This window comes from Homo sapiens, chromosome 2, assembly GCF_000001405.40.
Source record: "Homo sapiens chromosome 2, GRCh38.p14 Primary Assembly".
NCBI lineage: Eukaryota > Metazoa > Chordata > Mammalia > Primates > Hominidae > Homo > Homo sapiens.
Window position 1 is genome coordinate 202,770,661 of NC_000002.12, and position 24,265 is coordinate 202,794,925.

The 24,265-nt window shown below is 39.8% G+C and overlaps 1 protein-coding gene and 1 pseudogene across 3 annotated transcripts in view; both read right to left on the reverse strand.

The window, feature by feature from the left end:
• On the reverse strand, window positions 2,492-3,785 carry PIGYP1 (PIGY pseudogene 1; annotated as a pseudogene).
• ICA1L (islet cell autoantigen 1 like) overlaps window positions 2,516-24,265 on the reverse strand; it is a 98,591-nt gene continuing 76,841 nt past the window's right edge. For all 3 annotated transcript variants that reach the window (NM_001288622.3, NM_138468.7, NM_001288623.2), the window contains 3 exons: window positions 18,170-18,427; window positions 15,258-15,347; window positions 2,516-8,988 (listed from right to left, as the gene is read on the reverse strand). In NM_001288622.3, the coding sequence (NP_001275551.1) occupies window positions 8,873-8,988; window positions 15,258-15,347; window positions 18,170-18,427 (464 nt within the window). In that variant the 3' untranslated portion in view covers window positions 2,516-8,872. The remainder of the gene's footprint in view (window positions 8,989-15,257; window positions 15,348-18,169; window positions 18,428-24,265) is intronic.

Genomic DNA, 24,265 nt, shown 5'->3' on the forward strand with positions numbered 1-24,265 from the left:
GCCTGGCTAATTTTTATATGAATTTATTTAATTTTTTTTTTTTTTCGTAGAAACAAGGTCTTGCCACACTGCTTAGGCTGGTCTCGAACTCCTGGCCTCAAGTGATCCTCCCACCTCTGCCTCCCAAAGTGCTGGGATTATAGGTGTGAGCCATTGTGTCTAGCCTGTTAAAATTTTTGAAATATTATTTCTGAGCAAAAAAGTTAACCAGAGTTTGGGGATAGCTAATATATTTACACAATAATTTAACATAGTATCAAATGCAAAGAGAATTCTAAAATTGGCACGTAGAGTTTTCTCCCTTTCTTTCTTAGTATTCCCCCACCCCCACCTTTAAAGAGGTTGAGGAGAGCAAATATGTGAAATACAGTCCTTGTAGTCTCTTCTTCATAGCACTACCCTGCTAATGTGTAACAGACACTGGTTTTTTATCCTTTGCTAAGATTAGGTGTGCTTTAAAACATGTTTTAGTATGATAATGCCAATAGCCTTTGTAGCTCTTTGAATCAGTGTTTTCCCAACTGTTTGGGTCTTGAAATGAACTAAATGGGTTCAACCAACTTTTTAAAAAATGAAGCAGAATAGAAAACATAAGTATATTCATACATAAGGAGAGTAGTTTTCATGCGTAAAACTTTTGTTAGAGATATATACGTATGTCCTAGCTTGTAGTATAAAAAGTATTTCTCACTGAAGCTTGTATTAAAACGATATGAAGAATATTGCTGTAGCTACAACTTTTAGGTTTGTCTGGTATCTTAATGTAGGAATGAGACAGGAGTCTTGAAGACATTGTTTCTACTTCTCTTTACTACATAGCTCCAAAATTTCTAGGTTTTATAAAAACAAACCAAAAAAACCAGAATTCTCTTTCATCATTTTGCATCATCCTCAAACTGAGAATTTATCTCCATATATTCTAACTTTGATTTTATGTACTAGTGTGGATTAGTCCTGCTGAATCATTGTTTTATAGAAGACTATCTTGGAGGCCTTGATAGTTAAAAACCAGGAGTATAACCATTTGTCTCAATTCTATATCTTAAGTAATTATTTTTTAGATCATTGGGATAATTGAGAGGAGAAACAGAGAAAGTCCTAGATTTAGGGCCACAGTTTGGGTGCTAGTTCTGGCTCTGATGCGTAATGTTTATGGGATCTTGGGCCAAGAAGTCACCTTTGTGAACCTGTTTTATTTGTGTGATTAAGGAAATGCTGACAATAGTGCTATCACTTAGAAAATATGAAACTGTAAGCAAACATTTATCTGCCTTCATATTTTGTCACGTAAGTTTATTCATTCCATAGGGGAGCCAGTGGTTTTTGGTCATGGGAAGTGTTCTCATAAAATTCATTTTAGCTTGTAAAGTTTAAAATCGTCAAAGATAAACTGAAATTGTAATAAAAATTGATAATGCCTCTTGATAGCTTACCAAATATCGGACACTTTACATATTACTTTTACCCTAATCTTTATAATAACCCTTTGAAGCCAGGTACTGCTATTTTTACTATCATACAGATAACAAAATTGGAATTAGGTTGACTTTTCCATGGTCACACAGCTGGGAAACGTCAGAGACTGGCTTTGAACCAAGTCTGACTCTGGAATTCAGAGTTAATCATGTAGTCTTACTGCTACTTTGCTTGCACCAGTGACGCTGGTAAAATAAAGATGTTGGAGTCATTGCAGATTATGTGACATTGGGCCACACGGCCTGGTTCTTTGTGATCCTCTTCATTGCTACAGCTGCTGGCAGCTTAGTTCAGAGGGTCAAAAGAAAGGAGCTGGTTAGTTATCGGCTCCTGATCAAGGATGTTAGTGACACATTCTCAAACTCTCTGGTTTTTAATGTTGCTATAGCTGCAGAAAATAAAAAGAAATACTCTTTAATTTGGGGAGCACATGTTTTAGAGAGGCGAAAACGAACTTCAGTCACATTTCTGGTGGGTTTTTAATTCACCTGGCTTTTTTGAGGGAAAGACTTATATAGTTGGTTTTTTGCTCAGGCTGGAGTGCAGTGGGCAATCGCGGCTCACTGCAAGCTTCACCTCCTGGGTGCAAGCGATTCTCCTGCCTCAGCCTCCCCAGTAGCTGGGATTACAGGCGCCTGCCACCAGGCCCGACTAATTTTTGTATTTTTAGTAGAGACGGGGTTGCACCATGCTGGCCAGGCTGGTCTCAAACTCTCGACCTCAGGCAATCTGCCTGCCTCGGCCCTCAAAGTGCTGGGATTACAGGCTTGAGCCACCTCACCCGGCCTATAATTGGTTTTTAAATCTCTGTGACTTGGCATGCCCATTTAAGAGAGAGGGGACAGTAAAATCATCCGGATCACAATTCAAATGTGTGCTTGAAGGCACTACAAAAAAATAACCAAAAATATGTTAGTAGTGGTTATTCCTAGATGGTAGTGCTATGGCTGATTTTTTTCTTTCAGAAGATATTACTTTAAAATGGGAAAAAAGAAACAACTTTTTATTTTTTTAAATTTTTTATGAGAAAGTGTCAACATCTTTATTGCTAATATAAGCATTTAATGTCAAAGAAATGAAGGTAATTTTACAAACTAAATTTTTGTAAGTACATGAAATTTCTATTTGATTATGTGGTTTTATATCACATTCGTTCAAATGCATTTCTTTCCCTTAGAGGGACTATTCCAACATCACTCCTTTGGAATTATTTCAGTCATCCCTAACATGTGACTACCAAAGACCTTGAAGCTAAACAAACAAAGAAAACAAAATTTCAATGACTCTTAGATGAATGGAATAAGAAGTAGTCATCACATGTCAATTAGGGATGTTTATCTCCAACAAGACACTGTCAAAATGTTTCTTCTGATAAAGCAGTTATGTCAGAGCCTTCAAAAAACACGGGCAGAACAAGAGTACAATAAAAGAAGCGTCTGCAACTTAAGCCGTCCACAGTCCTAAGCCTGATATGCTCAAAGCAAAGCCTCTTTCCCACAAACTAAATTCCATCCATTTGAGCTTTCAGAGATAGATGCCCAAGAGCTATCATTAATATATACAGCATATTGACTCTAGTTGCATCAGTTATGCATGAAGAGTTTAATAACCATCCAGGTCCAAAGGTGGAAGAATACATACACCGGTATGGTAATAGGCAAGAGCAGGCTGTAAAAGCAAAGGCTAGCTGTGCAAGTGCAGCCCTGTGGGAAGTTTTCTTCTACAGAGGCTGAGTGGAACAGTCCTGCTAAATAAACCAGTGGAATAAGAACAGTCAACGTAGAAAGAGACAGAAAGATTCTTCTCTTCCGCTTATTACTTGCCACTGTGTTTTAAAAGGTATATGGTACTAAGAAGAGTTGGCTGTTTTATTTTTTTAAATTATGAACTAGCGCTGCTCCACTTCTTGCTTCTTTGATGTGTCATCCTAGCTGCCTAATATGATAATATTAGGAATCCCATCAATGATTGGATAAGCTATTCTCAACTCTTCATTAATCAATTCATTTGTTGATGCTTCATATCTGAGCGGCTTCTTGGAGAGCGGGCACACCAGGAACTCCAGCAGCGCCGGATCGAAGGCGCGGGGCGGCTCCTGAGTCTTCTCGCTCCTGTCGGCCAAAGGCCGTGACCCCGACGCGTGCAGGCACCTACGGGCGACCGCGGACGGCGGCGCGCGCGTTCCCCGCAGCGCTGAGGCGAGCCTGCCGCGCGCTCCGCTCAGCGTGGTCTGGCAGCCGGAGACCAGGCCTCACTGCGCCTCCAACAGCCAGGGTCGAGCCCCTGGCTCCCCGTTCGTCCAGGCCAGCTCAAGAAACAACTTTTTCTTTCATGTTTTTTGTATGTGTTTTTTTAGGTTATGGTCAGTGAGGTTTAGCCACAAGAGATATCACAGGAGAGACACAGGAAAAAAAGTTGTAATATACTCACAGGTCCTAGAGAGACCAGTCACTGCATGCTGAGAGGGGGTCACATGGGAGGGGGCTCAGCCAAGCAGGTGGGGAGCGGAGAGGCCTAAGACATGGGCAGGAGCCTTTGGGTCAGGGAGAAGCACACAAGAAAAAGAGAATTTCACTGGTGCATTTAAATGTTACTAGGTCATGGGCAAGGTAGCAAGGGAAACTTGTGGCAGGGGCCACCCATATCACACTGGGCCAGGTGCTCACAGCCTGTTTGTGGAGATGTTGAGGCAGCAAGAAAACCGGAAGTTTAAAACGTACACTACAAATGTAAAAACATACACTGCAAAATCTCACCCACAACACCAGTCAGAACTTCATCTCCTTTTTGTATTTACTCTTTGGCCAATGAGTAGTTAATTTACACCACTGAGTGAAGAACCATGTTTTGACTTTAAATGCCAAGGACAGTTTGTTTTGAACTCTTTAGTAGTCTTTTAAATGGTACAGAAAAAGATGGAAAAATAGCTTATGTTGGGCTTCTGGATGTGACCCATCTTTACCAACCATTTTTCTTATCTTGTCCCTTAGTTTTCTTTGCCATGTTTAAGCACTTTACTGTTGCATGAAATGCATTACTTTCAGTTCTACTAAATTAATATTTTAAAGTTCGTTTTTCCTTCCTAATTTCTATATTCCAAAATTCTGGGACTGCTTCATTGCTCAAGGTAGAGAAATGCAGGGCCCTGCCAACACTATGGAAGACAAAAATAACTGAATCAATTCTGGCTCTCTTCTTTTTATTCCTGCCTTCAATAAGTCAGGTTACATACTATGGCTTATATTTAATTGTTTGTGTCTAGGCTCAGATTTTTGATATTTGTTAGTTTTTGTTACTGAAAGTATTTACATAAATAACGTACATTATATTATTTCCCATATCTTACATAGTCCCCTTGTATATGAAATAAGAACGAATTCATCTCACAAGGATTTTCTTTTGAGACGGAGTCTCACTCTGTCACCCAGGCTGGAGTGCATGGCCTGATCTCAGCTCACTGCAACCTCCACCTCCCGGGTTCAAGCGATTCTCCTGCCTCAGCCTCCCAAGTAGCTGGGATTACAGGCATCTGCCACCATGCCCAGCTAATTTTTATATTTTTCATAGAGATGGGGTTTCACCATGTTGGCCAGGGTGGTCTCAAACTCCCAACTTCAAGTGATCTGCCTGCCTTGGCCTCCCAAAGTGCTGTTATATAGGCGTGAGCTACCGCGCCTGGCCTTACAAGGATATTAATTGCCCTGGTTTTATTTTCGTTCTCCCATGTCCGTATCAACTCAATGTACTTTCCTAATACTATGATCTTGAGGTAAAACCCAAGTTTTTGAATAGGAAAACAATAATTGTACTAAAAACTTCAGGAAACAAACTCTTGTTTTATGCCTTCTTGCAATCTTTATTAAAAGAGGCTCAGAAAAATAGATAGAGCACATGTAAACTTCCTTCGTTCTAATGCTGTAAGACCTCTACATTTCTAGATGGTCTATACAGATACGTGAAATATTTATAGTTAAAATACAAAACACTTTTTCAGTGTGCAAATACTGAAACCTGTTTGTTGAAATACAGTTTGTTTCTAATCATATCAAGGTTCTACAATTAATGAAGGATTTCAAAAACATACAAAATTACACCAATCTGATCTTATTATGCCCTGGTATTCCTGCGTCTCCTAAAAAATGGTTGTAGACACACTAGGCAAAGTTTAGCTCGTCTGGTTTTTTTTAGACTTAAAACACATTTTTATCCAGTATAACATAAAGTATAGATATTTCTCCCCATTTAACATAAAAAATATCTATTTTGAGGGTTGTTCTCAGCCTACCATTGGTTAAGGATAATTAATTTACTTCTTATTGAATGGATTATCTAGATTGAGACAAAAAGCAACCAGTCATTCTCTGTTCTGTGCTTATCCCGTCCTTTCCCTCGTTTCTTCAGTGTGGTGGTTTTTTATATTAGCAGTATTGGTTTAATAGAGCAAAATTTCTTTCTGACCACAAAAACTGCTGAGCTTCAAATAACTAATCTTGAGAAAATACGAATGTGGTTACCTTCATCTTAATATAGTTACTGATATGCTCTTCAAAAACAGTGGTTGGACTTGTTGGAAGTTAGAACTGGACTTGCTAAGGAAGTTAATGTTGCTCTGGGTTAAATGGGAAACATATACTCTGTTGAAAGAAGAAATGTTATAGAAACTAGTAACAGAATAATAAAAGTCCCTTGTATGTCTCCATTTCGGGAGAACTTTTGCTTTTGGAAAATTTAGGGTGTTCCTAGTATGGACTTTGGGTTTCTGCTTTGTCTGCTTGTTAAAGTATCTGTATTCGATAACAGGGACTTCCTTGCACACATGTGAGGGAGATAAATATCTCAGAACTAATGCATTAGCAAGGTGACCACTACAAAGAAAAATGGTACAAACTCTCAAGACATAAAGTTAGCTTTTTTTTTTTTTTTTTTTTTTTTTTTTGAGAGAGTCGCTCTCTGTTGCCCAGGCTGGAGTGTAGTGGTGCAATCTCGACTCACTGCAACCTCTGCCGCCTGGGTTCAAGCAATTCTTCTGCCTCAGCCTCCTGAGTAGCTGGGATTACAGGCATGTACCTCCACACCTGGCTAATTTTTGTATTTTTAGTAGAGACAGGGTTTCACCATGTTGGCCAGGCTGGTCTCGAACTCATGCCCTCAAATGTTCCACCCGCCATGGCCTCCCAAAGTGCTGGGATTACAGGCGTGAGCCACCATGCCCAGCCAAAGTTTTAGCATTTTTTGAGGCACTCAAAAGTTGAGAGCATCAGAGTCACCATGGGTATAGAATTCAGATTGGGATTCGTAATCATGATCTTGGTGATTGGAACTTGGCAGAACAGTGACAGTATTACATTCTGGGAAATTTCACTGAGTATAAAGGAAGACTTAAGTCTTCTGAAGAGATAAGTAATGGCTCATTAAAATCTAAAAGAAATAGGAGTAATATTGTGAAAAGATTTTATGGAAAGACTTCATACCTTTTTTCTGAGTCAATGTTTCTGACCTTCAGATAAGGTCTTTCCAGCCTATACTGTACTTGGCCATTGTAGTAGTTTTCTGGAGAGCCTGTGGGCAGTTACTATTGTAGATGGCTATGGATGGGACATGGACTGCATTTTACCTACTCTGGTCCAATGTTTTCTATGTACCATGACAAACATTACAAGCAATCCTTTTCTAAATAAGCCTGTTTAGAATAGAACTAAGAGCACATGGAAGCTACTGTGAATAACTTAGTTAAAATGTCTTTTTTTTTTTTTTTTTTTTTTGAGACGGAGTCTTGCTCTGTTGCCTAGGCTGGAGTGCAGTGGCGCCATCTCAGCTCACTGCAAGCTCCGCCTCCCGGGTTCACGCCATTCTCCTGCCTCAGCCTCCGGAGTAGCTGGGACTACAGGCACGTGCCACCACGCCTGGCTAATTTTTTGTATTTTTAGTAGAGACGGGGTTTCACCATGTTAGCCAGGATGGTCTCCATCTCCTGACCTCGTGATCCGCCTGCCTCAGCCTCCCAAAGTGCTGGGATTACAAGCGTGAGCCACCGCACCCAGCCAGTCAAAATGTCTTCTTATGGAAATGCAATGGACTGGATGACAAATATAAAACAAACACACACTTGGGAAATTGCTTCAAAATTAAAGGGTGGGCAATTTAAAAGGACAGGAAATTGAGTGATTGATGTGTGTGTACGGTAGCTACGTTTTTATCAGCTTACACTAACTTCCATTAAATAGCCTTCCTCTCTAATACTTAGGTTCTAAACCCTGTAGGGGTAACAGATTTTGCTTAGTAATCAAATAGAACCTCAGATCATGTCACCCACAGAAAGAGGGAAGTAGAAAAATGAGACACTCCCTTATTGATCACACAGAGCTTTCTGTATGTCTGCCAGAAAGTATTCTGGGTTAAATAATTATGTCACAAAATATGAGATAAGTATGCAAATATATGTAAGGATAAGGTGTTCATAAGTGTCTCCCTCATTCAGATAGAAATTTCTAGGTATTTCAGGAATACTATTGCCAGTTGCTTAGGGAATATTCTCCCCTCATTTTATTTTCAGGAATAATATAAATACTGCATACTACTATATAGCAAGTGTATGAAAAAGTGGGTCTGAAGACACTTGTACAAGCCTTAAGTATTACTGTGCATTCTGAGTTTTAGGAGATGGGAAGATAGATTTTTCTGTTTCTGCAGAGGATGGGCTTAGCAAATTAATTATCCTGCTACTTCCCCTTCAAGATTTAATAATGGAATTAGGGAGTGTCCATTATTTTGTATGAATGAAAAAACATTACATTTTAGCCTCCAAATGAAGAAAAACAAGTACCAAGTTTCTCTGTGATTTCATTAAAGCAAACTGAGTTCTCAAATCTTACTCTCTCTAACCCAAAACAAAGCTGGTCTGGTTCTAATGGTGTTTTCCAAAACAGAAAATCCTCCTCGCTACTATTTCATTTAAAAACTGACCCCAAACCACAACCCAATTTACATGCTATCTATCTATCTTTGTTATCCACATATAAAATTCTCACAGCCAGCAAGGCAACTTAAAAGGGTTTCCAAAGAAATAAGCTCAACTCCATATTGACAGAATTATTCCTAGCCGTTATTTTGACATAAATTTCAGTATCTAAATATCGCAAACTCTGTAGTTTCTAATATTTTCCACATAGAAGTTTCTAATATTTTCCACATAGTACCAACAGCTGCAAATCCAAGATATGAAAGATGTGTACTTATTCAAATGTGGTCTTTACCATCTGTCTAAAGTTGGCTGACAGGTGTTATATTCACAAACACCGTGCTTTTGTGTGCGGGTTACAATCTAAATCCTTTCCACGAAGGAAATACGTTGCAAAATTGATGTCTCAAGGCCACTGAAGTGACATTATAACTTCAGTCAAGCATTAAGAAGTTCATCATCTGAGTGTCCAATAGCATCTGGGTTTGAAAGTGGATCCAAGTCTGCAAACAGATTGAACCAGGCTGACATGTCTTGGTTGCCATTGTTGGGGGCTATTAAAAAAGAAAAAAAATACATTAAAGAGATTCAGTTTTGAAATCATGTTTTTGTACCATATTTATGATTTTGAAGTAGGTGCTTCTTTTGGATTAAGAAAAAATTAAGATAACTGACAATAATCTATCAACTATAGTCCCTTTAAGATTTTTTTTTTTTTTTTTTGTTTTCGGTAGAGACTGGGGTTTCCCTATGTTGCCCAGGCTGGTCTGGAACTCCTGGGCTCAAGTGATTCTCCCACCTCAGCCTCCGAGAACACTAGGATTATAGGCCTGAACCACTGCTCCTGGTTTAAGATAATTTTGAAAGGCAAATGCATATAACTTGTGCTTTGATGAGGTGCCTATATTTAAATAATTGTATGCTGCTCTGAGAAAGGAATTGAGTTAAAAGTGAAAAGGCAAGCAATACTGTGGTCTCCATAGAACATTTAAGATCACTTATAGAAGACTCTCAGATAAGGTTTAAAAGTAAACTTGTTCATATCAAGTAAGAAATGACATTTGTAAACACTGCTTCAAGTTGATTTATGTTTATTATAAAAGTGGTATTACAAAAATATTAGACATAAGGGAAAAAACTCCCCCTAATCCTACCACATTAGCACACCCAACATTGTGATTTTGGTTTACAGTTGTTATGTCTTTTCCATGTGCACTTTAAAACTTTTTGATGTGCGCATTTTACAGTATGCATTTTATCTCAGGTACAACTTCTTGTTCATCAGATCCCTCACATCTCCTTATGGAGACTGGAAAATTTTATTTCTCAAGATTCTACAAGTTGCACTGTGGCAGATATTCAAGAGTGTATATTTGGGCTGAGGGTTGGGACTAATAAAGAATGCACAGTGGCACAGACAGTGGGTCATCTCAGAAGTCTAGGCCCTTGAAAGCCAAGGAGTCCACAAGGCAGGGTTGAGACCCAGAGGACAGTCTAAGAACTGGACATGAAACCAGAGTCACAGTGTGGAGGGTAGAAGGCAGTCCCAAGGCAATCCTCTTTCACATCACAGTAACACCACAGACCAGAGGGCTGGGGTTTGGGGTATAGGGATCCAGAGCCCAAGGATCAGGGCAGAGTGAAAGGCTTCACTCTGTGTGTCCAGTTCTGTTTCTGAGTACCCTGAAGTAGTATCAGTGATAACCACACAAAATCTGGCTTTGAGTCCTGGGTGTAACACCTACTAATGAGTAATACTGGGCAAGTCATTTAACCTCAGGGTCTCTTGTCTCCTCATCTGTAAAGTAGTAACCATATGATTCATCATGATATCAGGATACATGAGACTAAATAGGGGCACTATTAGTCATTATGCCAGAAGAATAGGTGTCACTAAGATAATACCTGACCTCCTTCATGCAGCTGTTGAAGAGTCCTGAAAAGTATGTAAATATTGTACAGCATTATGCAAATGTAAGACGGTTTTATATTCATTAGTCACAATGGGAAATAAAGGTCTGTCCGTTACATCTTTTATAGAGGCTCTCCTTGTGTACACTATTACTGCCTCCAGAGATTCTTATAGGATAACAAGCAGAAAATGAATTCTATATAGAGAGAAAAAGCCCAAATTAAACATAATGTTCATAAAGTAAATACATTCATCAACAATATCAGAATCAAGAAGTAGAACATGGCTGGGTATGGTGGCTCACGCCTGTAATTCAAGCACTTTGGGAGGCTGAGGTGTGCAGATCACCTGAGGTCAGGAGTTCGAGACGAGCCTGGCCAACATGGTGAAACCCCTGTCTCTACTTAAAAAAAAAAAATTAGCAGGGCGTGGTGGCGCACACCTGTAATCCCAGCTACTTGGAAGGCTGAGGCATGAGAATTGCTTGAATCCGGGAGGCAGAGGTTGCAGTGAGCCAAGATTGCACCACTGCACTCCAGCCTGGGTGACAGAGTGTGACCCTGTCTCAAAAAAAAAAAAAAAAAGACTCCTCCTCTGAAGCTCCCCTCATGCCTGATACCCTGACACCCTTCCAGTCACTATTCACACACCCCCAACCCCAGGGAATGCCAGGGTAAATCCCATTCTGGTGTGTTATTAACAGTATCACAGTGACGCTCATTAGCATATATTTTAGTCAATGGATAGATGCGTTTCTGTTAGGTATGTACTTAGGAGTGGAATTGCTTGGTCACAGGGCATATGTATGTTAAATTTTAGTAGAAACTGCCAGTTTTCCAAGTGGTATTACCAATTTACACTCCTACACGCAGTTTTTGAGATTCTAGTTATTTAACATCCTTGTCACAATTAGGGATTTTCTTTTCTGTTTCATTTTAGCCATTGTAATAGGTAGGTCTTGAATTCCATTTTGCTTTTAATTTGTACTTCCTTAATGACTAATGAAGTGAGGCTCTTAATGAACGAATTTTAAAGTTGTTAAAATTTTCAATTTTATGGCCGGACATGGTGGTTCATGCCTGTAATCCCAGCACTTTAGGAGGCCAAGGCAGGTGGATCACTTGAGGTCAGGAATTTGAGACCAGCCTGGACAACATGGTGAAAACCCGTCCCTACCAAAAAATACAAAAATTAGCCAGGTTTCCTGGCGTGCCTGTAATCGCAGCTACTCGGGAGGCTGAGACAGGAGAATTGCTTGAACCCGGGAGGCGGAGGTTACAGTGAGCCAAGATCATGCCACTGCACTCCAGCCTTGGTGAGAGAGCACAACTCTGTCTCAAAAAAACAAAAACAAAAACAAAACATCAATTTTATTAATTTTTTTGTTGTTGTTTGTTTTGTTTTTGGTTTTTTTTTTTTGAGATGGAGTCTTGCTCTGTCGCCCAGGCTGGAGGGCAATGGTATGATCTCAGCTCACTGCAACCTCTACCTCCCAGGTTCAAGTGATTCTCCTTGCCTCAGCCTCCCAAGTAGCTGGGACTACAGGCGTGTGCCATCACGCTCAGCTAATTTTTGTATTTTTAGTAGAGACGGGGTTTCACCATGTTGGCCAGGCTGGTCTTGAACTCCTGACCTCGTGATCTGCCCACCTTGGCCTCCCAAAGTGCTGGGATTAGAGGCATGAGCCACCGCACCCAGACTGTTAAATTCTTAAGTTTAGTTTTGTTGTACCTTCTTGGTGAGAAGTTTTTTTTTTCCCCCTAAATTTTTCCTCGAAAATCAGCCTCAAGAATTAGAGGTAAATAGTGCCTTTGCTTTTTTGTGTTCGTTTCTGAAATTTATTTACTTTATAGTGTCTGTTTTAAATGCTTAAGCACAACTTGTTTTAGCTGGTTTTTAAAAAGAAAAGTATAACTATAAGTACTCTGAATCCCTGAGGGATGGCTGTATTCTGAACCTGCCAGTGTGAAATCTGTGATTTGCTTGGAATTGAGGGTTTCCCCTACTGGCTGACCTCAAAGTACTGGGAAGAATAAAATAGATTCCAGGAGTCCACACTGATATCAATGAATAAGTAAATAAGTAGGGAAAAAGGGAAAGCTTTCCCATTCAGTAGAACACTAACTTGTAAATAGAGAGGGAATGAGGAAATAGAAAATCACCGTTTGGCAACAACTACAGTAATAAATATTTCATGGAAGAATTATCAGTGAATGCTAAATTAGTGGGCAAAACTTCAGTAGAAACAAACCATTTGCAGTATTTCAAAACACTTCCCACAAGATACTTACGAATTACAAAGGGAAAAATACAGCAGTCACTTTGTAATGGAGAAACGTGACAGATACCACCATAACCAAGTGATCAGGCTTAACATCACCAGAAGTGAAACAAAATAGACATCATGCACCCCCTGATAGGATTTACTAAGGCACAACACCATTCCTGCACTGGTAGTCCTGCCAAAATGCATAACCTGGGTCTAATTATGAAAAAACATTAGCTAAACCCAAATTCAAGGAATATTCAAAATAAATGACCTGTACACTGCAAAAATGTCAAGGTCATGAGACACAAAGATTGAGGAACTGTTCCAGATTAAAAGACTAAAGAGACTTTACTAAATGCAATGTGTGATCCTGGATTGGATCCTAGACTATGAAAAACTAAAATGAAGTTGAGACATTAGTGGGATAATTGACAAACTCTGAATAAGATCTACAGTAGATAATGGTCCTATGGCAATGTTAATTTCCTGATTTTGACTTGTACTGTAATTATGTAAAAGAATGTCCTTGTTTTTAGGAAATAGACAATGAATATTTAGTGGCAGAGAGGCATCATGTCTGCTACTTAAACTATTTATTTCAGTTCAGAAGAAATTTATATGTATATGATGGGGGGGTGGGGAAGAAAGAGGATGAGTGTAAAGCAAACATGGTAACATTTTGGAAACCTAAGTGAAGAATGTATAGTAGTATTTTTTATTAACTTCTGTAGTCTTTCTATAAGTCTGAAATTATTTCAAAATTTAAAGATACTGATATCACAAGGATTCAGAAGTCAGCCTGAAAGGGCTCCCACTGGCCAACACAGGAACAATGTGAGCACCAGAATCAATAATTTCAGTGGTGATTATAAACCACTGAAAACATAGGAATCAGGCCAGGTCCAGTGACCCACACCTGTAACCCCAGCACTTTGGGAGGCCGAGGCAGGTGGATCACTTGAGGTCAGGAGTTCAAGACCAGCCTGGCCAGCATGGTGAAACCCCATCTCTACACAAAAATTGGCCAGGCGTGGTGGTACATGTCTGTAGACCCAGCTACTTAGGAGGCTGAGGCAGGAGAATCACTTGAACCTGGGAGGCGGAGGTTGCAGTGAGCCAACATGGCACCATTGCACTCCAGCCTGGGCGACTCTGTCTCCAAAAAAACAACAACAAAAGAAAACATATGAATCTATATTGATAATAAATAAATGAGTTGAGGATAAGAGAGGTCTCTTGTTTACAGCAGAGTATTGACCAGTGAAGGGAATGAATTATATCTCAGTAAGCTGTTTAAAAAATGTGATCCATGGATCAACAGATAACCAGTTGTGTTGTATCTGTCAAACAGAGTATTATTCAGCCTTATAAAGGAAGGAAATCCAGTCACTTGCTACAGGATGAACCTTGAGGACATTATGCAAAATGAAATAAGCCAGTCACAAAAAAGCCAAATACTGCATTATTTCAGTTGTATGAGGTATCTAAAGTAATCAGACTCAGAGAAAGCAGAATGGTGGTTACCGGGGACTTAGGAGAAGGGGTTGTTGAACGGGCATAAAGTTTCAGATTTACAAGATAAAAAAGTTCTGAAGATCTGTTTCACAGCAGTATGAACATGCTTAATATTACCAAACTGTACTCTTAAAAATGGTTAATATGGGCTGGGCATGGTGGCTCATGCCTGTAATCCTAGCAGTTTGGGAGCCTGAGGCGGGCGGATCATGAGGTCAGGAGATCGAGACCATCCTGGGTAGCATAGTGAAACCCTGTCTCTACTAAAAATACAAAAAATTAACTGGGCATTGTGGCATGTGCCTATAGTACCAGCTATCTGGGAGGCTGAGGCAGGAGAATCGCTTGGACCCAGGAGGCGGAGGTTGCAGTGAGCCGAGATTGTACCATTGCACTCCAGCCTGGGTGACAGCGAGACTCTGTCTCAATTAAAAAAAAAAAAAAAAAGAAAAGAAAAAGGTTAATATGGTAACCAACTTAAGTGCTTGAATGCATTCTTTGTCAATAGGCATCCTGTAATCAGAAAGCATCTTGTATCCCTAATTTTACATCCATTACCAACAAACCTTAACACAAACTATAAAAGATTACAGTACAAAATGTAGTACACTTTGTCAAGCTCACAGTTTCTTTCTTTCTTTTCTTTTGGAGACAGTCTTGCTCTGTCGCCCAGGCTGGAGTGAGTGCAGTGGCACAATCTTGGCTCACTGCAACCTCTGCCTCCCGGGTTAGAGCAATTCTGCCTCAGCCTCCCGATTAGCTGGGACTACAGGTGCCCGCCACCATGCTTGGCTAATTTTTTTGTTGTTGTATTTTAGTAGAGTTGGGGTTTCACCATGTTGCCCAGGCTGGTCTCCAACTCCTAACCTTGGGCAGTCCGCCTGCCTAGCCCTCCCAAAGTCCAGGATTACAGGCATGAGCCACCATGCTTGGCCCCAAGCTCAATTTCTATTCAATGCTTTCCATATTGAGGGATAAGCAGTATAGCTTTCATTTTAATAATAATCATTATTAAACTTTTTCAGGACAATGAGGTGAAAACAATATAAAGTGATCCTTTTCTAAATTTATCTGAATTCAACTGATTCTTAAAGCAATGATAAAGAATATATAAATAAATAACTTACATCTTGTTAATTTCTTTGGACTCTGTGAAGGCACTGGCTGGTTATCAGTGTGTGAAAGACAAAGTTCTGATTCCTCTTGGGAGACCCAGTCTGGGATAAAAGAAGTAAAAATTGTCCATTGTTAATCAAATAGGAAGCAGCATCAGAAAAACAAGAAAAGGTAAAAATATCTAAGTCCTCCAGTCTTTGTATCTGGGTAAGATTCTATAAGAGGTATAAAATACTGAAAATTTATCTATAGTCATATATTTTAATCATCTTAGTTTCAGATAGAGTTGGATCCGACTTCCTTACATTTTTCAAAGTGGTTTTGAAATAAATATGTGGGATGTTTAAAAAATAATTGAGGCCGGGCGCGGTGGCTCACGCCTGTAATCCCAGCACTTTGGGAGGCCGAGGCGGGTGGATCATGAGGTCAGGAGATCGAGACCATCCTGGCTAACAAGGTGAAACCCCGTCTCTACTAAAAAAAATACAAAAAATTAGCCGGGCGCGGTGGCGGGCGCCTGTAGTCCCAGCTACTCGGGAGGCTGAGGCAGGAGAATGGCGTGAACCCGGGAAGCGGAGCTTGCAGTGAGCCGAGATTGCGCCACTGCAGTCCGCAGTCCGGCCTGGGCGACAGAGCGAGACTCCGTCTCAAAAAAAAAATAATAATAATAATTGAAATGCAAAAGGTATAGGAAGAAGTTCTAAAGAGTCAAGAAGGGAAGGAACAGGCCTGATAATTGGAATGCTGAAACCTATAAATATGCTCATACCCTTGGACTCAGTGATCCCATTCCTAGCAATTTTTCTTAAGGAAATAATTTAGCTGAAGGAAGAAGTACATGCATGATTTTTTTTTTTTTGCAGCATTATCTGTAATAATGAACAAGTAGAAACAATAAGGAAGGAATCAGGTAGATTATGTTGTATAAAATGACAGTACTTTGTAATTAAAATGTCATTATGAATACTCTATGGGAATGTGGAGAAATGTTTGCTACAACATGAAAAACCATTTATGCTATGATTAAGGCACAGCACTAGAAAGGAATTTAGATTATCCTGCCTAATCCCTTCCTTGTATAGAAAAGATCTGAGGCCCAATGTAGACAGGGTTCCTCAAACACAGATCTTTTAATTCCCAGGGAAGCTCCCTTTCCTGGTCTGTACCACAGGAGAGAGAAAAGTAAATATAAAGGAAAGACTGGTAAAGTCGAGTTCTGCACAAAGAGGCAGGGGCAGATTTTGGTCCCGTCTTAGCTATTTAAACTGTCTGATGACCTTGAGCAAGTTACTCAAATACTGTGGTTTTCAACTGTTCAGCTATTAAATGGGAATATCCTGTCTGCCTACAGGTAGGGATCAGAGCACATATTTTGAGTAGTGAAAAAATATTGTTGATAATTGCATTGCCAGAAACTAAAAGTTCAGTGCTGCTAGAAACGTGGCAAGTTATGGAGGAAGAGGGAGGAGTTGATAGTGGAGAATGAAATCAGTTTGTAAATCTTTATAGCTACTGAGCCATTGGTATGCCACACAAGAATAAATATTTTTAAAGATGTTACTGTAGCAAAAACATCTGAATTATCCCAGATAGAGTGCCTCTTTATCAAATAATATTGTCTATTCTTTCTTTTATTCTATTCAATCAATTCTTACTGAGTGATTATTTAACATTTAGTTTATTAATTGAGCTAACAACATGCTGCTGTCATAGAAAGTACAAAGATGACTCACTCCACATATCATGCCCTTGGGATGCTTGTAGATAGAGCATGTACCTCAGTATTTAATACAAAGTACAATGCATTAAGACACTGTGAAGTGCCGTGAGGGGTCCCCCCGTCCAGGGGTTAAAATCTAGGATGTGAGAGACTGGAATATAAAGCAAGATAAAGTAGGATTAGAACCATGAAAATAGATAAAGCAAAGCACCACGGGAGGAGGGAGAAACCATTTCCATTTGGCAGTACTGAGGAGGACTTCAAGGACTGACAATCATGGAGAAAACACTGGATTGGGATCTAATACTCAGGCCCACGTCCAAGCTCCATTACTGAACATCAGAAGCAGAAGAAGCAACACAAGCACAGATAGATGCATCAGAGGGCTGTGGAGCACTCAGTGTGATTATAGAAAACCGCAAGTATTCTTCCTTCACTTCAGTAGGAGATAGGAGATATGGGTGGAAATGCGACATAGGCAGGTTTTATCCCTGGAAACCATGGTGTTTCATTTTATAAAATGTAAGCCAGGTGCTGACATCAGAATCTGCTGCTTGAAGAGAGAATTCCACAGAAGTGTAGAGAATGAATTGGGGGTTGGAGACCTGTGAGGAACTCTTGCAGTAACCTAGGAAACCAAATGAGGCTCTAAATGGCTCTGGTGTTGAGGCAGAGAGGAGTGGGAAATTTGAGACAGGTTTCAGAAACAGAACTGACAGGATTTGGTAACCAATATGGATGTGAGAAGCAAAGTGACCCCCAAGGTGCAGGGTTGGACACAGGATGGTGGACTCTCTTCTCCTGCTGCCTTGCCCAGAAAGGGAACCAGCCTCCAGAGCTGTTCTTTTTCCTCTTGTCAACTCTGAACACAGCAAGTTTTGCTTGATGGAAGAAACAGTATTGACTGCCCTAGGTAGGAGTAATTAGCAGGTCAAGTGTTTTAAACCAGATGCCTGGGAAAATCAGTGAAGAAAACATGGGGTCTGGTGAAGGTGGGCAGGGAAACAGCCCTTGTTTCAGTCTTGTTGACAGATTCCTGAGGTGACTAATATTTTTCCAGTTGATTGGTGGACTGCAGATTTTATCTAGTAGTGCTGACATTAAAATCAATCTGCTTGTTGGTTCTAGCATCAATAAGCACACCATTTTGCTTCACAAAGATAAAGTAAAGCACATATGTCCAAATGTTTCATAGACACTTACTGTTGAACGCTCCAGCCACATGAAAGCCAAGGTCAAAGAGTTGTGAAGGAAGGAATCGAGAAGAATGAGCGAGGGGCTCAGACCCCATGGAAGGCTCCTGGGATGTGAGACTGGCACTGGGGCTCCCAAAGGCAGTCTGGCATTCTTGGGTAAATTCACTAGTACTTGAAGAACCAGAACTTAGGAGGTTGTTCAGAAATGAGAATTCCTTCTCAAAATCTTCTCCTTCCAATGAATCTACAGGTAGATCTTTTGCAACTATTGAGTGTAAATAAAAACAGAAAGGCTTTTTTGATTTTAGGAAATGAGAGTAAGACCATAGGATGAATCAAATTTGTTTCATTGTTTTCATACTGTATTAACATAATTTTAAACAAACAACTAAAGTGACTGGAAGTTTATGTGAAAGTTACTTCTAATTAGGCAGGATTTAGGTCAAAATGGCCACATTTAACAATGAAGATATAACCATTATGAATGCTATATATGAAATAATTAAGCTACCACCTAAGTCAGAAACCAAAGGAGATGCAAAAGACATAGAAACAAATTAATAATACGAGACTTTAATATACCACTCTGACTAAAAAACAGGCCAAGAGGACAACAGATAAAAAAGATCAAAAGAGCATAATCAATAATGTAGTTATTTTGGATAACACAAACCCTGGTAATAGAAACATTCTTCTTAACCACACATTGAAAATGTACAAAAGTTGATTATACTAAGGCACACACACACAAAAATTGTGTTCTTAAAGTAGGAACATTACAAACAACATGCTCTGATCATAATGCAATAAAAAGACAATTCTAAAATGAAACTATAAAAACAAAAAGGTTGTTACACCTGTAAATCTTAAAACCTTCTACCAAACAACGTTGAAAAGGGAATGGACTTTCGGAAAAATAATGATGAAGAAAATATTTTATATCATAATCCATGGTGTTAAGTAAAATGTATAGAAGACCATTGGTTTGGACTGAGCTCTTGTACTAGACCCAACAGACCAAACCAAAATGGAGTCACTCATGCTAAAGTTCCATATCACCAAACCAAACTAAGTTATCTGGCCTTTCAAGAAATCAGGAGAGAGACATCATAGCCAAGTCCCCAAGCAGGCCAGTCCTAGCTGGCATGATAAGGAAGTCCCCTCTGCTTTAACCCTTACAAGAAAAGTAACTGCAATGATCAATCCACTTTTTGTTTTCTGTTTCTGCTTTCCCTGGTCCTTTTCTGTCTATAAAACCAACCTCCTCAGAACACTCATTCCATGTTACAGAATGGGGTGTTGCCTGATTCTAGAATTGCAAATAAAAGCCAATTGAGGTCTTTAAATTTGTTGTAATTTTACCTTTTGACAATAGAATACTTAAATGGCATGAACAAAGGAAAAATCCCATCCCTTAAACATTTTTATCAATAAAAATGAAAGGGAGAGGCATCACGGACCTGCACCCCAGCATAATTGGTGAAAGTTATTTTTCAAAATAAATAAGCATTTAAAATCTCTGGAAATGGTCCCAAGGATATGCAGCAAATGAAGAAATATTTACTTAAGAAAATCTACTATAATTTAGGAAAAACAGCAAGAGTTTTTAGTATTTGAACTGAGAACCAGTCCCATCTTCCCGCTTTCCAACTTAGCAAGATGGAGATTCCACTCCAGTCTGGTGCAGCCAGAACACAGGGCTCCTTCTCTCTCCAGCTGTCAGTCAAGGGCTAGCTTCCCAGGAGGAGTAAGATGCCAGCATTTCACATCCCGTCCCCAGTTACCTGTTGCTGAGGCTAAGTCCTAGGTGAGTGCAGTCAATAGATAATAGAGGCTCCCATCTCCTCCCCAGATCCCTCATGGGTTGGGAAGTCTGAGTTTGGTGTAGTGTGCTAAGAATATAGGGCCCCTGATCACTTGACCCTGCTAGTAAAGTGGTGGTTTCATGAAGAAAGAGGCAAGCCAAGAAGACCTAAGGCTACCGTCACTCTCCTCAGCTCCTAGAGCAAGGATGACACTCAGAAAGAAGTATGCCATTGTCCCCACTCCCAGCTCAAGCTCTGACTCAGAGATTTTCCTTGCAGGGAGTGAGGGAGAAGCCGACCATAAAACTGATGGTTCCTAATCCCTTTCCAAAGTCACTGACTTCATTTGTAACAGAGTGTAGAGAAATTCAACCCTAAGGATGCTCTCAAAACAGTGGAGGTTTTAGTAAAAGGCAACTGGAGAAGTCTTATAGTGTATGAGTCTCAACATGGAGGCTAAACTGTAGGCCAGCTGCTTTGCCTGAAGGAACCAGGGAAAAAGCCAGCTGGGGTCACCACAAATTTCAGTGGCCTTAAGAACTGTTTCTTTAAATGAGTCCAGATTTGATTGGTTTATTGTGTGGAACAATTTATGCTCCAGGGACTGTTGAAATCAATAGAGCAATCAGCTGGAAGAAGCAAAAATGATAACTTGGACTTACAAAGAATTTTGTGCTTCCAAAGGCAAAATCGAGAAAATAAAAAGACTGGGACAAAATATTTACAAGTCATATATCTGATAAAGGGCTTTATAAAAAATATATAAACTCTTACAACTTAATAAGATAAGCAACCCAATTAAATAATGGTCAATAGAGTTGAATAGATTTGTCAGTAAGGAAGATACACGAATGGACAATAGCACATGAAAAGAGTCTCAACACCATCAGTCACTGGAGAAATGCAAATCAAAGCTACAAATTAAAAGCACTAGAATAGCCAGGCACTGTGGCTCACACCTGTAATCCCAACACTTTGGGAGGCTGAGGCAGGTGGATCTCCTTAGGTCAGGAGTTTGAGACCAGCCTGGCCAACATGGCAAGACCCTGTCTCTACTAAAAATACAAAATTAGCCAGGCGTGGTGGCGCATGCCTGTAATCCCAGCTACTCAGGAGGCAAGGTTGGAGAATCACTTGAACTTGGGAGGTGGAGGTTGCAGTGAGCTGAGATTGTGCCATTGCACTCAAGCCTGGGCAACAAGAGCAAAACTCTTGTCTCAAAAAAACAAAAGCACTAGAATAACTGTTACTTAAAATATACCAGGCACGGTGGCTCATGTCTGTAATCCCAGCACTTTGGAAGGCTGAGGCAGGTGGATCACTTGAGGCCAGGAGTTTGAGACCAGCCTGGCCAACATAGTGAAACTCCATCTCTACTAAAAATACAAAAATTAGCTGGGTGTAGTGGCACATGCCTCTAATCCCAGCTACTCAGGAGGCTGAGGCAGGAGAACCACTTGAACCCAGGAAGTGGAGATGGCAGTGAGCTGAGATCCTGCCACTGCACTCTAGCCTGGGTGACAGAGCGAGACTCCATCTCAAAAAATAAAATAAAATATAGACAATACCAAATGTTGGCAAAGATGTGGAGAAACTAGAACCCTCACACTTTGCTGGTGGAAATAAAATGGTGCAATTATTTTGAAAAAAGTTTGGCAGTTCCTTAAGAAGTTAAATTCACCATACAACCTAGCAATTTCACTCCTGGGAATCTAACCAAGGAAAATGACAATGTATGCCTGCACAAAGAGAAGTACATGAATGTTCAGTAGTAGTAGTAGTATAATAGCCAAAAATTATAAACAACCCAAATGTCCATCAACTGGTAAATAAGTAAACATAAGATGGTATATCCATACAATGGAATACTATTGCTTAATAAAAAGTAATAAACTGGCCGGGTGCAGTGGCTCACACCTGTAATTCCAGCACTTTGTGAGGCTGAGGCGGGCAGATCACAAGGTCAGGAGATCGAGACCATCCTGGCTAACACAGTGAAACCCCATCTCTACTAAAAATATAGAACAAATTAGCCGGGCATGGTGACACACGCCTGTAGTCCCAGCTACTGGGGAGGCTGAGGCAGGAGAATCACTTGAACCCAGAAGGCAGGTTGCAGTGGGCCAAGATCGCGCCACTGCACTCCAGCCTGGGCGACAGAGTGAGACTCGGCCTCAAAAAATTAAAAAAAAATAATAATAAACTACTGATATATACAACAACATGGATGACTCCAAAAACCATTAAGTGGAAGATGCCAGAAATAAAGGACTACCTTTTGTATGGCTTCATTTATATGGAATGTCCAGAAAAGGCAAATTTATAGAGACAAAAACAGATTACTAATTACCTACGGCTTGGAGTGAATCAGAGATTAATTTAAAACAAGCATGAGAGAATTTGGGGGGTAATGGAAACATTCTAATATCCAACTGTGGTAATGGTTGCATAATCTAAATTTTCTAAAAATTAGGAACTGTTAGAATGGGTGAAATTTATGGTATTTAAATTATACCTAAATAGAGCTGTTAAAAATAAAAAGAAATTTTGTACAACTCTATTGCAAATAAATTTAAAAGTCTACACAAAATGAATAACTTCTTAGAAAAATGTAATTTACTAAAATCAATCCCAGTACAGATTAAAAGCTTAAACAGACTGATTTCTATAGAGAGAGACAAAAAACACACATGTACAAGAAAGCATTAGACCTAGATGTTTTCATAGGTTAAGAAATGAATAAGAGGCCGGGCACAGTGGCTCACACTTAGCAAATCCCAGCACTTTGGGAAGCTGAGGCGGGCGGATCATCTGAGGTCAGGAGTTCAAGACCAGCATGGCCAACATGGCAATATCCCGTCTCTACTAAAAAAAAAAAAAAAAAAAAAAAAAAAAAAAAAATTAGCCAGGTGTGGTGGCAGGTGCATGTAATCCCAGCTACTCAGGAGGCTGAGCCAGGGAGAACTGCTTGAACCTGGGAGGTGGAGGTTCCAGTGAGCAGAGATCACACCACTGCACTCCAGCCTGGGTAACAGAGAGAGACTCCATCTAAAAAAAAAAAGGAAGAATGCAAAAAGAGCCAGGTGTGGTGGCTCATGCCTGTAATCCCAGCACTTTGGGAGGCCGAGGCTGGTGGAGCACCTGAGGTCAGGAGTTTGAGACCAGCCTGACCAACATGGTGAAACCCCATCTCTACTAAAAATACAAAATTAGCCAGGCATGGTGGCGTGCACCTGTAATCCCAGCTACTTGGGAGGCTGAGGCAGGAGAATTGCTTGAACCTGGGAGGCAGAAGTTGCAGTGAGCCAAGAATGTGCCATTGTGCTCCAGCCGGGGCAACGAGTTAAACTCCAGCTCAAAAAAAAAAAAAAGAATGCAAAAAGAGTAGTAAAATATTAGCAAGCAGAGTAGTATAAAATGACAAAGCTGGACTTACAACTGGAATGCAAACATGATATAGTATCAGGAAACCTATTATTATAGTTCATCATATTAATATATTTAAGAAGAAAAAGCAAATAATTGCTGACATAGATACTGAAAAAGCTGCCAACAAAATTCAACAACTATTAGCCAGGTGTGGTGGTATGCACCTGTAATCCCAGCTACTTGGGAGGCTGAAGCAGGAGAATCGCTTGAACCCAGGAGGCAGAGGTTGCAGTGAGCCAAGATCTCACCACTGCACTCCTGCCTGCGCGACACAGTGAGACTCCATCTCAAAAAAAAAAAAAAAAAAAATCAACAACCATTCCTAATAAAAATTCTTAAGAAAGTAAGTATGGATGGATGCTTCCTTAACATCATGAAATTATCTGTGTCCAAAGCCAGCATCTTAGTTCAGAAATATTATAGGCATTTCCACTGAAGTCAGGAAACGTTCACTACTAGTTAACATTGTTCTGAAGGTAGTAGCCAATGTAATTAAACAAGAGAAATCTATGAGTTGGTAAGAAGAAAAAAACAAGATTATCTCTATTTTCAGATGACATAACTCAAATAATAAAAGAATTCAGCTATATACCAGGATATAAAACTAACATGCGAAAGTGAATAGCATTCATATATACAAAATGACCAATGAAAATATATAATGGAAAAGAAAACCTCATTTACAATAGCAACCAGAAAGATAAAATACATAGAAATAAACAACGGGAAGTGTTCAAAACCTGTATGAAAAAAAAAGTCTGAAAGATATACAAGTAAACTTTAACAAATGGAAGGATGGCCCTTGTTTTTCATGAGGATGTCTCAACATGATCAACCTGTCAGTTTTCACATTTAATGTGATTACAATA